At 45.3% G+C, this 12769-nt stretch overlaps 1 protein-coding gene across 1 annotated transcript in view; it reads left to right on the forward strand.

Moving 5' to 3' along the window:
• ZFP1 (ZFP1 zinc finger protein) overlaps positions 1-12769 on the forward strand; it is a 53233-nt gene that overhangs the window by 13651 nt on the left and 26813 nt on the right. The gene's annotated exons all lie outside the window — the stretch shown is intronic.

Genomic DNA, 12769 nt, shown 5'->3' on the forward strand with positions numbered 1-12769 from the left:
TTTTTTTTTTTTTTTTTTTTCCGAGACAGAGTCTCACTCTGTTGCCCAGGCTGGAGTGCAGTGGCCCAATCTCGGCTCGCTGCAACCTCTGCCTCCTGAGTTCAAGTGGTTCTCTTGCCTCAGCCTCCTGTGTAGCTGGGATTACAGGCATTCACCACCACACATGGCTAGTATTTTTTTTTTTTTTAGTAGAGATGAAGTTTCACCATGTTGGCCAGGCTGGTCTCAAACTCCTGACCTCAGGTGATCCATCCACCTCAACCTCCCAAAGTGCTTGATTACAGGCATGAGCCACCACGCCCAGCCTCATTTCATTTTAAGATTTTTTAACTTTTTTTTTTTCAAGACGGAGTCTTGCCCTGTCACCCAGGCTGGAGTGCAGTGGTGCGATCTTGGCTCACCACAACCTCTACCTGCTGGGTTCAAGCGAGTCTCCTGCTTCAGCCTCCCAAGTAGCTGGGATTACAGGTGCATGCCACCACGCCCAGCTAATTTTGTATTTTTAGTAGAGACAGGGTTTCGCCATGTTGGCCAGGCTGGTCTCGAACTCCTGACCTCCGGTGATCTGCCCGCTTTGGCCTCCCAAAGTGCTGGGATTACAGTGTGAGCCACCGTGCCTGGCCTTTAACTTTTATTTTAGATTCGGGGGTACATGCGCAGATTTGTTACATAGGTAAACTCATGTCATGGGGGTTTGCTGTATAGATTATTTCATCACCCAGGAATTACGCCCAGTATTCAATAGTTACCTTTTCTGCTCCTCTCCTCCCACCCTCCACCGTCAGATAGACCCCAGCATCTGTTGTTTCCTTCTCTGTGTTTATAAATTCTTATCATTTAGCTCCCACTTATAAGTGAGAACCTGTGTTTTCTGTTCCTGTGTTAGTTTCCTAAGGATGATGGCCTCCATCTCCATCCATGTTCCCACAAAAGACATGATCTTTTTCATGGCTGCATAATTTTATTTTAATTCATTTTAATTTTGAGTGGCTATTATATTGGACAGCACATATTCAGAGGCTTGATTGGATTCAGATTCCGCTTTCTTTGGCAAGACTACTTCACAGATGATGTTGTGTGTCCATGTACATTTTAGAATAAGTTTTAGATCTTCTGCCAGGCATGGTAACTCACGCCTGTAATCCCAGCACTTTGGGAGGCTGAGGCGGGTGGATCACTTGAGGCCAGGCATTCGAGAGCAGCCTGGCCAACATGGTGAAACCCCGTCTGTAATAAAAATACAAAAATTAGCCAGGCGTGCTGGTGCATGCCTGTAGCCCCAGCTACTTGGGAGGCTGAGGCAGGAGAATCTCTTGAACCCAGGAGGTGGAGGTTGCAGTGAGCCAAGATCGTGCCACTGCACTCCAGCCTGGGCGATAGAGCAAGACCCTGTCTCAGAAATAATAATAATAACAATAAGTTTTAGGCCTTAAAAATTCCACCTGGATTGGGGGACAGGGAATTGAAAGGTATAGGATTTCTTTCAAGATGATGAGAATATTCTGGAATTAGATAGCGGTGATGGTTGTGCAATATTATGAATATTCTAAGAACTACTGACTTACACACTTTAAAATGGTAAAAATTCTGAATGTTATGTTAGGTGAATTTTATCTCAAAAAAATTTTTTTAATTCTAATTGGAATTTTGATTGAGATTGAATTCAATAATTAGTTTATTAATTTTGTGAAATTTGGCTTCTTTGTAATATTAAGTTGGTCATTAAAGATAATGAACTTGAGCCCAGGAGTTTGTGACCAGCCTGGGCATCAATAGCCAGATCCCATCCCCAAAAAACATTTTTAAAAATTAGCCAGGCCTGGGCTGGGCGCGGTGGCTCACACCTGTAATCCCGGCACTTTGGGAGGCCGAGGCGGGTGGATCACAAGGTCAGGAGATCGAGACCTGGCTAACATGGTGAAACCCCGTCTCTACTAAAAATACAAAAAATTAGCCAGGCGTGGTGGCGGGCACCTGTAGTCCCAGCTACTCAGGAGGCTGAGGCAGGAGAATGGCGTGAACCGGGAGGCAGAGCTTGCAGTGAGCCAAGATCGCACCACTGCACTCCAGCCTGGGCAACACAGCAAGTCTCCGCCTCAAAAAAAAAAAAATTAGCCAGGCCTGTCTGGGCGTGGTGGTTCATGCCTGTAATCCCAGCACTTGGGGAGGCCGAGGCGGGCGGATCACCTGAGGTCTGGAGTTCAAGACCAGCCTGACCAACATGGAGAAACCCCATCTCTACTAAAAATACAAAAGCCAGGTGTGGTGGCGCATGCCTGTAATCCCAGCTACTCGGGAGGCTGAGGCAGGAGAGTCGCTTGAACCCAGGAGGCGGTGTTTGCGATAAGCTGAGATCGTGCCATTGCACTTCAGCCTGGGCAACAACAGTGAAACTCCATCTCAAAAAAAAAACAAAAAAAACTAGCTGGTGCCTGTAATCCCAGCTGCTTAGAAGGCTGACGTAGAAGGATTGCTTGAACCCAGGAGTTACAGCGTGCAATGAGCCATGATCACAACACTGCACTCCAGCCTGGGTGACAGAGTGAGACCTTATCTCAAAAAAAAAAAAAAAAAAAAAAAACCACTGGAAACAGCCAAGAGATCCTTCACTCATTCATACAGTGGAACGTTAATCAGCAATTCTAAAAATGAGCTATCAAGTCACAAAAAGACAAAGAAGAACCTTAACACAAAATAACACAGAGGAACCTTAAATGCATATTGCTAAGTGATAGAAGTCAGTCTCAAAAGACTATATACTGTATTATTCCATCCACATGACATTCTGGAAAAGATAAAACCATAGGGACAGTAAAAAGATTAGTGATTAGCTGGTAACAGTGGCTCCAGCCTGTAATCAATTCCAACACTTTGGGAGGACAAGGTGAGAGGATTGGTAAGCCCAGGAGTTCAAAGCTGTCCTCGAGTCTGGGCAACAGAGTGAGACCCTGTCTGGGAGGGAATAAATTTAGTGATTGCCAGGTGTTCAAGGTGGGAGGGATAAATAATGAAGAACAAAGGATGTTGAGGGTGGTGAAACCCTTCTGTATGGTACTATAATGGTACATACATGACATTGTGCATTTGTCAAAACCTATAGAACTTTACCACACTGAGTGAAACAATACAGACAAGTTTTTATCTTTATTATTCATTAATTAATTTGGTTATTTATTTTTTGAGACGGAGTCTCACTTTGTCACCCAGGCTGGAGTACAGTGGCCCAATCTTGGCTCACTGCAACCTCCACCTCTTGGGTTTCAGGCGATTCTCCTGCCTCAGCCTCCCGAGTAACTGGGATTACAGGCACCCGCCGCCATGCCTGGCTAATTTTTATATTTTTAGTAGAGATGGGTTTTCGTCATGTTGGCCAGGCTAGTCTCGAACTTCTGACCTCAAGTTATCCACCCACCTCTGTCTCCCAAAGTGCTGGGATTATAGGCATGAGCCACCACGCCCAGCTAAGGCAAATTTTTAAAAGATCATTTAGGAAGTCGGGGGAGTCCCAGGAAAAAATGCAGATGGTGGCAAGAGAATCTAACTTTTTCTTTCTAAATGTATAAAACAGCCCCACTGAAGAGGGTTGGGGAAAAAGGCGCTGACATAAGTAACTTTGGAACTGAATGGAATTTGTAAAAGTAAAGGCAAAAGGAACTACATGTCAGTACTGTACTCAAGTCAATGAAGTTGTTTTTTGCAGGGATACTCGTCGACAGTCCTACTATGGCTATACATGTATACTGGAACAATAGTCAATAGTTGGTGAATGGTAGGAGCCAGGCTTCTCACTGGTTGACTGAAAATTTACAGTTCAGTGAGAAAGGAGGCCAGAATGATCCATATGATAATGAATTACAATTGAAGAATCAGTAACAACTCATGTTTAACTTAATACAGATACAGTTAATTACATATAGAACTATTTATAGATATAGACTGGGCATGGTGGCTCAAGCTTGTATTCTTAGAACTTTGGGAGGCTGAGGCAGGAGGATCACTTGAACCCAGGAGTTTAAGACCAGCCTGGACAGCATGGTGAAACCCCATCTCCACAAAAAAATACAAAAATTAGCCAGCCGTGATGGTGTTCACTTGTAGTCCTAGCTACTTTGGGAGACTGAGGCAGGAAGACTGCTTGAGTCCAGGAGTTCAAGGCTGCAGTGAGCTATGGTCGTGACACTGTGCTCCAGCCTGGGCAACAGAGCAAGACCCTGTCTCAAAAAAGAAAAGAAAAGGAAAAAAAAGGACCCTGTTTGTAGATATATGTATATGCACACCTTAGTATACATACATATATTTCTTTGCTCTGTCAGCCAAGGGGTCCTAAAAATAATAATAATACCCTAAGAAGCAAGGAGCCCACCCGGGGCCAGCATTTGTGTTTCTAATGCCAATCTCCAGTAAAGGAACCAGGGGCCCTTGGAGAAAGGGCTGATTTTAGGACAAGGGGAAGGAAATATATGAGATGGCCCTGGATTATCTTGTAATGTCAGAAAGTAAGAGAGTGTTCACACACACACTGATTGGGCATGTCAAAGGGGCCCAGGAGTCACCTGAGAGAACTCCTAAGGGCCAAAGCTAGAACACTTTGATTGACAAACTAAGTAGAATAATATTGGGTTATTCCCCAAAGTTAAGTATTCATGAGTCCATAGTGATATATTAATAAGTAACTGAGGCTGGGTGCAGTGGCTCACACCTGCAATTTCAGCACTTTGGGAGGCTTAGGTGGGAAGATCACTTGAGAGCAGAAGTTCAAGACCAGCATGGTCAACAGGGAGAGAGACTCAGTCTCTACAAAAAAAATTCTTTTTTTTTTTTTTTTTTTGAGACCAAGTCTCGCTCTGTCCCAGGCTGGAGTGCAGTGGCGCGATCTTGGCTCACTGCAAGCTCCGCCTCCTGGGTTCACGCCATTCTCCTGCCTCCTCAGTCTCCTGAGTAGCTGGGACTACAGGCGCCCACCACCACGCCCGGCTAATTTTTTTTTGTATTTTTAGTAGAGACGGGGTTTCACCGTGTTAGCCAGGATGGCCTCGATCTCCTGACCTCGTGATCCGCCCGCCTTGGCTTCCCAAAGTGCTGGGATTACAGGCATGAGCCAACACGCCCGGCCCCAAAATATTCCTTTAATGAGCTGCATGCAGTGAGGCTTAGGCAGGAGCATCACTTGAGCCCAGGAGTTGCAGGGAGCTAGGATTCCATCACTGTACCCCAAGCTTAGGTGGCAGAGTGAGATTCTGTGTCCAAATAAATAAATAAATGATTGAATACATTAGTAAATGGGGAAAAGAGACAAGCCTCACCTGCAGAATTCCAAATAAATTATTTAGATACCTCACCCTAAAGGCAGGGTGACATAACCTCCCACTTCCTTTTTTTTTTTTTTTTTTTTTTTTTTTTTTTGAGACGGAGTCTCACTCTGTTTTCAGGCTGGAGTGCAGTGGTGTGATCTTGGCTCACTGCAACCTCCACCTCCCGGGTTCAAGTGATTCTCCTGCCTCAGCCTCTCAAGTAGCTGGGACTACAGGCGTGCGCCACCACACCTGGCTAATTTTTGTATTCTTAGTAGAGATGGGGTTTCACCATGTTGTCCAGGATGGTCTCTGTCTCTTGAGCTTATGATCCACCCACCTTGGCCTCCCAAAGTGCTGAGATTACAGGCGTGAGCCACCGCGCACAGCCAACTTCCCACTTGTTAAACGTGGACTGTGCAGAGTGACTTCCTTCCAAAGAGTACAGAATAAAAAGGACAAACAAAAGGAGTAACTTTATAGTGGAGACACACCTTCAGCAGGATGATCAAGGTCGATATTAACACTCATAAGCCATGTGGATAGCATGTACCTTTACTGGGTCGAATCACGTCCTCCCAAAGCTCACATCCTCCCTGCAACCTCGGACTGTGACCTTATTTGCAAATAGTGATTGCAGATGTAATTAGCTAAGATGAGGTCACACTGGAGTAGAGTGGGCCCTTAATCCAATATGGCTAGTATCCTGATTAGAAGAGGTGAAGAGAAATGGACCCCGGAGGGGAGAACGCTACATGAGGGAAGTGATGCAGAGCCAGCCGCAGCAGCGAGGGAAATCCCTGGAAGGCAGGAAGAAGCATGGCAGGCTGCCCCCTGCGGCTTTCAGCAGCAGCAGGACCTTGCCGACACCTTGCCTTTAGACTTCCGTTCTCCAGAACTGTGAAAAAATAAATGCATGGTGTTTTCAGCTGCCCAGTATGTGGTCCTTTGTGATGACAGCTCTAGGAAATTAATGCCAGATCCTTGCTATGATGACGTAATGGAAGTGGCACTTTACCTCTAGGATCTTCCTCCCCAAAACCCACAACTCCATTCTAATCATGAGAAAAACATCGGATACATTTCAATAGAAAAGCATCCTACAAAATACCTATCTAGTAATCCCTCAAAACTGTCAGAGCTGGGCTGGGCGCGGCAGCTCACGCCTGTAATCCCAGCACTTTGGGAGGCTGAGGTGGGCGGATCACGAGGTCAGGGGATCGAGACCATCCTCGCTAACACGGCGAAACCCCGTCTCTACTAAAAATACAAAAAATTAGCCAGGTGTGGTGGCGGGTGCCTGTAGTCCCAGCTACTCGGGAGGCTGAGGCAGGAGAATGGCTTGAACCCAGGAGTCGGAGCTTGCAGTGAGCCGAGGTTGCGCCACTGCACTCCAGCCTGGGCGATAGAGCGAGACTCCATCTCAAAAAAAAAAAAAAAAAAAAAAAAAAAACACCGTCAGAGCCAGTCGGGCCTGGGGGCTCACGCCTATAATTTCAGCACTTAAGGAGGTTGAACCAGGAGGATTGCTTGAGCCCAGGAGTTTGAGACCAGCCTGGGCAACAGAGAGAGACCCCATCTCTACCAAAAATAAACAAATAAGTTGGGCATGGTGGCGCACATGTGTGGTCCGAGCTACTCAGGAGACTGAGGTGGGAGGATTGCTTGAGGCCAGGAGGTGGAGGCTGGGATTACAGGCATGAGCTACCACACCTGGCCAGGAGATCCCTCTTGATAAGAGTGGCTTTGTTTACATGGAGGCCTTGGACAAGCCAGGTGGTTTATACTTAGAGTCATCAAAATTCATAGAACCAGGAAGAAGAATGGTGGTTGCCAAGGGCTGGGGAAGGAAGAAATGGGAGTTAGTGTTTCATGGGTAGAGTTTCAGTTTTACAAGATGAAAAGAGTTCCAGCGATGGATAGTGGGGATAGTTGCGCGATATTGTGGATGTATTTAATACCTCTGAACTGTACACTTGAAAATGGTTAAGATAGTAAATTTTATTACATATGTATTTTACCACAATAAAAAAAGTTGAGGCTGGCCAGGCATAGTGGCTCATGCCTGTAATCCTCCCATTTTGGGAAGCCAAGGTGGGAGGATCACCTGAAGTTGGGAGTTCAAGACCAGCCTGACCAACGTGGAGAAACCCCGTCTCTACTAAAAACACAAAACTAGCCGGGCGTGGTGGTGCACTCCTGTAATCCCAGCTACTCAGGAGGCTGAGGCAGGAGAATCTCTTGAACCTGAGAGGTAGACGTTGCGGTGAGCTGAGATCACGCCATTGCACTCCAGCCTGGGCAACAAGAGTGAAACTCCATCTCAAAAAAAAAAAAAGTTGAGGCCAGGTGTGGTGGCTCATGCTTCTAATCCCAGCACCTTGGGAGACTGAGACAGGAGGACCACTTGAGCTCAGGAGTTCGAGACCAGCCTGGGCAACAGAGCGAGATCTTGTCTCTACAAAAAGAAAAAAAATTGAAAAACAATGCACTGTCCCCTCAACTCCTGCTATGACCTCCTTAGCAATGAACACCATCTGACATGCTATATATTTTACTCATTGTTTATTCTTATTGTCCCCCCAACTACAATGTAAGCTCCACCAGGACAGAGAGCTTGTGTCTTAGTCACAGCTGTGCTCTGGCATGGCGCCTGCCACCAGCAGCTGACAAACTTACGCAAGCATTGCAGCAATGCTGAATAAAGGAATAGAAAATAAAAACACTTGGGGGAGGCCGGGCACGGTGGCTCACGCCTGTAATCCCAGCACTTTGGGAGGCCAAGGCGGGCGGATCACGAGGTCAGGAGATCGAGACCATCCTGGCTAACGCGGTGAAACCCCGTCTCTACTAAAAATACAAAAAATTAGCCGGGCGTGGTGTTGGGCGCCTGTTGTCCCAGCTACTCGGAAGGCTGAGGCAGGAGAAAGTCATGCATCCGGGAGGCGGAGCTTGCAGTGAGCCGAGATCGCACCACTGCACTCTAGCCTGGGCGACAGAGCAAGACTCCATCTCAAAAAAACACAACACTTGGGAGAAAAGTCTAAACTTGTCATTCAGAACCTCACAAAAATAATCATTTTGAAACCTGGCAAGGAGAAGAGAATCATTGCTAATATTTGGCCAAAAATTGTTCTTAAACATTGACTTTCTCCAAAAATTGTTCTTAAACATTGACTTTCTCTGGTTCACAGTCCAGAAGAAGGAACAGAAAATCGAGTGAAAAAGTTGATTATACAAATTGGGTCATTCTTTTTTTTTTTTTTTTTTTTTTTTTGAGACGGAGTCTCGCTCTGTCGCCCAGGCTGGAGTGCAGTGGTGCAATCTCGGCTCACTGCAAGCTCCGCCTCCCGGGTTCATGCCATTCTCCTGCCTCAGCCTCCCGAGTAGCTGGGACTACAGGCGCCCACCACCACACCTGGCTAATTTTTTGTATTTTTTTAAGCAGAGACGGGATTTCATCGTGTTAGCCAGGATGGTCTCGATCTCCTGAACTTGTGATCCGCCCGCCTCGGCCTCCCAAAGTGCTGGGATTACAGGCGTGAGCCACCGCGCCCAGCCCAAATTGGGTCATTCTTGTCATATCCAACTAAATCAGAGTTGAGAGGTCAGAAAAAAATGCACTTAGGGCACATAGCACTTACTCCAAGAAATAAATTATCTGTGTGTAGTGGCTCACGCCTATAATCCCAGTGCTTTGAGAGGCCAAGGTTTGGGAGGATTGCTTGAGACCAGGAATTTGAGACCAGCCTGGGCAGGATAGGGAGACCCTGTCTCTGCAAAATAAACAAATTAATTTAAAAAAAAAAAAAGAGAGAAAAAGAGGCTGCACCATGGTGGCTCAAGTCTGTAATCCCAGCACTTTGGGAGACTGAGGCGAGTGGATCATTTGAGGTCAGGAGTTCAAGACCAGCCTGGCCAAAATGGTGAAATCCCATCTCCATTAAAAATGCAAAAATGAGCTGGGCATGATGATGGTGGGCGCCTGTAATCCCAGCTACTTGAGAGACTGAGGCAGGAGAATTGCTTGAACCCAGGAGGCAGACATTGCCGTGAGCCGAGATCGCGCCACTGCACTCCAGCCTGAACAACAGAGCAAGACTCCATCTCAAAGAAAAAAAAAAAAAAAAGAGGCTGGGCGCGGTGGCTCATACCTGTAATCCCAGCACTTTGGGAGGCCAAGGCAGGCAGACCACAAGGTCAAGAGATCGACACCATCCTGGCCAACATGGTGAAACCCCGTCTCCACTAAAAATACAAAAAAAAAAAAAAAATTAGCTGGGCGTGGTGGTGCACACCTGTAGTCCCAGCTACTCGGGAGGCTGAGGCAGGAGAATCATTTTAACCCGGAAGGTGGAAGTTGCAGTGAGCTGAGATCACACCACTGCACTCCAGCCTGGTGACAGAGCAAGACTTCCTAAAAAAAAAAAAAAGAAAAGAAAAATAAATTTTCTGTGAGGCCAGCTGCTGAAACGTCCTGCTGTAACCCTAAGACCAGTTGGACCTAGTAGCTGCTGAAGTGACCTGCCATCACTCTAAGACTAGTTTAATCTACTGTTGTCACTCACCAATCTGAGCTTGCTAGCTCCCAAAAGTGTCTCTAGCACCAGTGAGCTTCTTTCAAAACAATTCATAATATTTCTCTTGCTCATAAAATTCCCAAACTTCACTTAATTCTTCTGACATACTGAAGACTACCCAGTCTATGTGGATGCCTCATATTGCAATTCTTGCTTCCCAAATAAAACCTGTTATTTTATCTATATTTTTATTTTTTGAGACAGAGTCTCACTTTGTCACCCAGGTTGGAGTGCAGTGGTGCGATCTCAGCTCACTGCAACCTTGGCCTCCAGGGTCAAGTGATTCTCCTGCCTCAGCCTCCCAAGTATCTGGGAGTACAGGTGTCCATCACCACACCCAGCTAATTTTTATATTTTTAGTAGAGATGAGGTTTCACCATATTGGCCAGGCTGATCTTGAACTCTTGACCTCAAGTGATCTGCCTACCTTGGCCTCCCAAAGTGCTGGGATTACAGGCCTGAGCCACTGCACCCAGTCCCCAAATAAAACATTTTACATTTAGAGATTCATTTCTATATTTTATTTGACTTTGACAATTGATATACAAAATTTAACATGGTTAGGAAAATCCAGACCATATAGAATTTCCTTAGAATAAATAACCCAGTGTTTTCAACAACTAAATGGCAAATAAAAAAAAAGATATAGAGGGGAAATGTATATATGAGAAGACATCACACAATCTGAGTACGTGGATTCACTGGGCCTGAATTTTTTGTTTTGTTTTTGTTTTTGAGATGGAGTCTCACTCTTGTTGCCCAGGCTGGAGTGCAATGGTGTGATCTGGGCTCACTGCCACCTCCGCCCCTCGAGTTCAAGCAATCCTCCTGCCTCAGCCTCCCAAGTAGCTGAGACTCCAGGTGCATGCCACCAGGCCCAGCTAATTTTTTTGTGTGTTTTTAGTAGAGATGGGGTTTCAATATGTTGGCCAGGCTGGTCTCGAACTCTTGACCTCAGATGATCTGCCCGCCTTGGCCCCCCAAAGTGCTGGAATTACAGGCGTGAGCCACTGTGCCCAGCCCTGTTAATTTTTTATGTGTGATAATATTGTTATTACATTTAAAGTATGATCTACAGACCCTGGGGTCTCCAAGCCCTTTTCTGGGGATCCAGGAGGTGAATCTTTTTTTTTTTTTTTTTTTTTTGAGACATAGTCTCACTCTATTGCCCAGGCTCGAATGCAGTGGCATGATCACAGCTCACTGCAGCGTCAACCTCCTGGGCTCAAGTGAACCTCCCACCTCAGCTTCCAGAGTAGCTGGAACTACAGGTGCATGCCACTGCGCCCACCTAATTTTTGTTTATTTTTTTGGTAGAGATGGTTTTGCCATGTTCCCCAGGCTTGTCTCAAACTCCTGGGCTCAAGGGATCTGCCTGCCTTGGCCTCCCAAAGTGCTGGGATTACAGGCATGAGCCACTGCACCGGCCACCAGTGGTGATATTAATGTAGTTGTTTGATACTGTATAATAAAAGGTGTCAACATTTAGAACCTCTGCATGAGCTGGCCAGGTCAGCAATGTGTTTCTCAGAAACACCCGCTACACTTTCTCTTTATTTTTCAGGGAAAATTAATAGAGGACAATGTGGTTGTGAATTTTAGAAGGTCTTGAAAAGTACAGCCCACACACGTGGTGCTTACTCAGTGCTGTTACACATAAGGCGGTAAGGGGAATTTATCTTGTGTGTATGTGTGTGTGGGGGGAGTTCTCCATTCTCTTCGTATAGTTCAGTGTTTAGTCTTTTTAAAATATGCATAGTTTTTTACAAAAATAGGATTACGCTGCACATATTCTTGTGTGATCAGTATTATTTCATTTCTCAATGAAATAACCCCCACGTGGGTAATACACATTATCCTTTTTAGTGTTTCCCCAAATTCTCCTTACATATCACCACAATTTATTTTACGTTTACCTACTAAAAGATTTTTAGATCCTTCCCAAGGTTTTGCAAATATAAATGGCAATGTGAGGAACATTCTTGTATATACATCTTTCCATAAGATTATAGGTTATGGTAATTTATAATTTTTAAATGTTGGTATAATAAGATCTTCAGAAAAATTTGATGTGTACACTCACATCACAATGTTGTATATCCATCACCACTTTCTCCTTCCAGAACTTTCTCATTATCCCAAACAGAAACGCTATACCGTTTAAGCACTAACTCCCCATCCCTTTTTATTCCAGTCCCTGGTAACTCTGTTTTACTTTCTGTCTTTATAAATTTGCCTATCCTAGGTACGTCATATAAATGGAATCATACAGTATTTGTCCTTTTGTGTCTGCCTTCTTTCTTTTTTTCTTTTCTTTTCTTTTAAGAAACAGAGTCTCATTCTACTACCCAGGCTGGAGTGCAGTCGTGCAATCATAGGTCACTGCAGCCTCGAACTCCTGGGTCAAGTGATCTTCCTGCCTCGGCCTCCTGAGTAGCTGGGGCCACAGGCACATGCCACTACCTCCAGCTTGGCTTATTTCACTTAGTGTATTTTCAAGTTTTAATCACGTTGTAGCGTGTACCAGAACGTCATTCTTTGATATGGCTGAATAATATTCCACTGTATCCATTCATCAGCTAATGGACACTTGGATTGTCTCCACCTTTGGATATTGTGAATAATGCTGCTATGAACATTGGTGTAAACACCTTTCTATGAACCTGTTTGAGGATATTGTTTTAATTAAAAGCAAGCTGCTACCACTACATACCTATTAGAATGGCCAAAATTCAAGACACTGACAACAAATGCTGGTGAGAAATTGGAGCAACAGGAATTCTTATTCATTGTTGGTGGGTGCAAAATGATGCAGCCACTTTGGAAGACAGTGTTGGCAGTCTCTTACAAAACTAATGATATGGACAGGAGGCAGGAGGGCGGGATTCCTGGTGAGGG

This window comes from Homo sapiens, chromosome 16, assembly GCF_000001405.40.
Source record: "Homo sapiens chromosome 16, GRCh38.p14 Primary Assembly".
Classification (NCBI taxonomy): domain Eukaryota; kingdom Metazoa; phylum Chordata; class Mammalia; order Primates; family Hominidae; genus Homo; species Homo sapiens.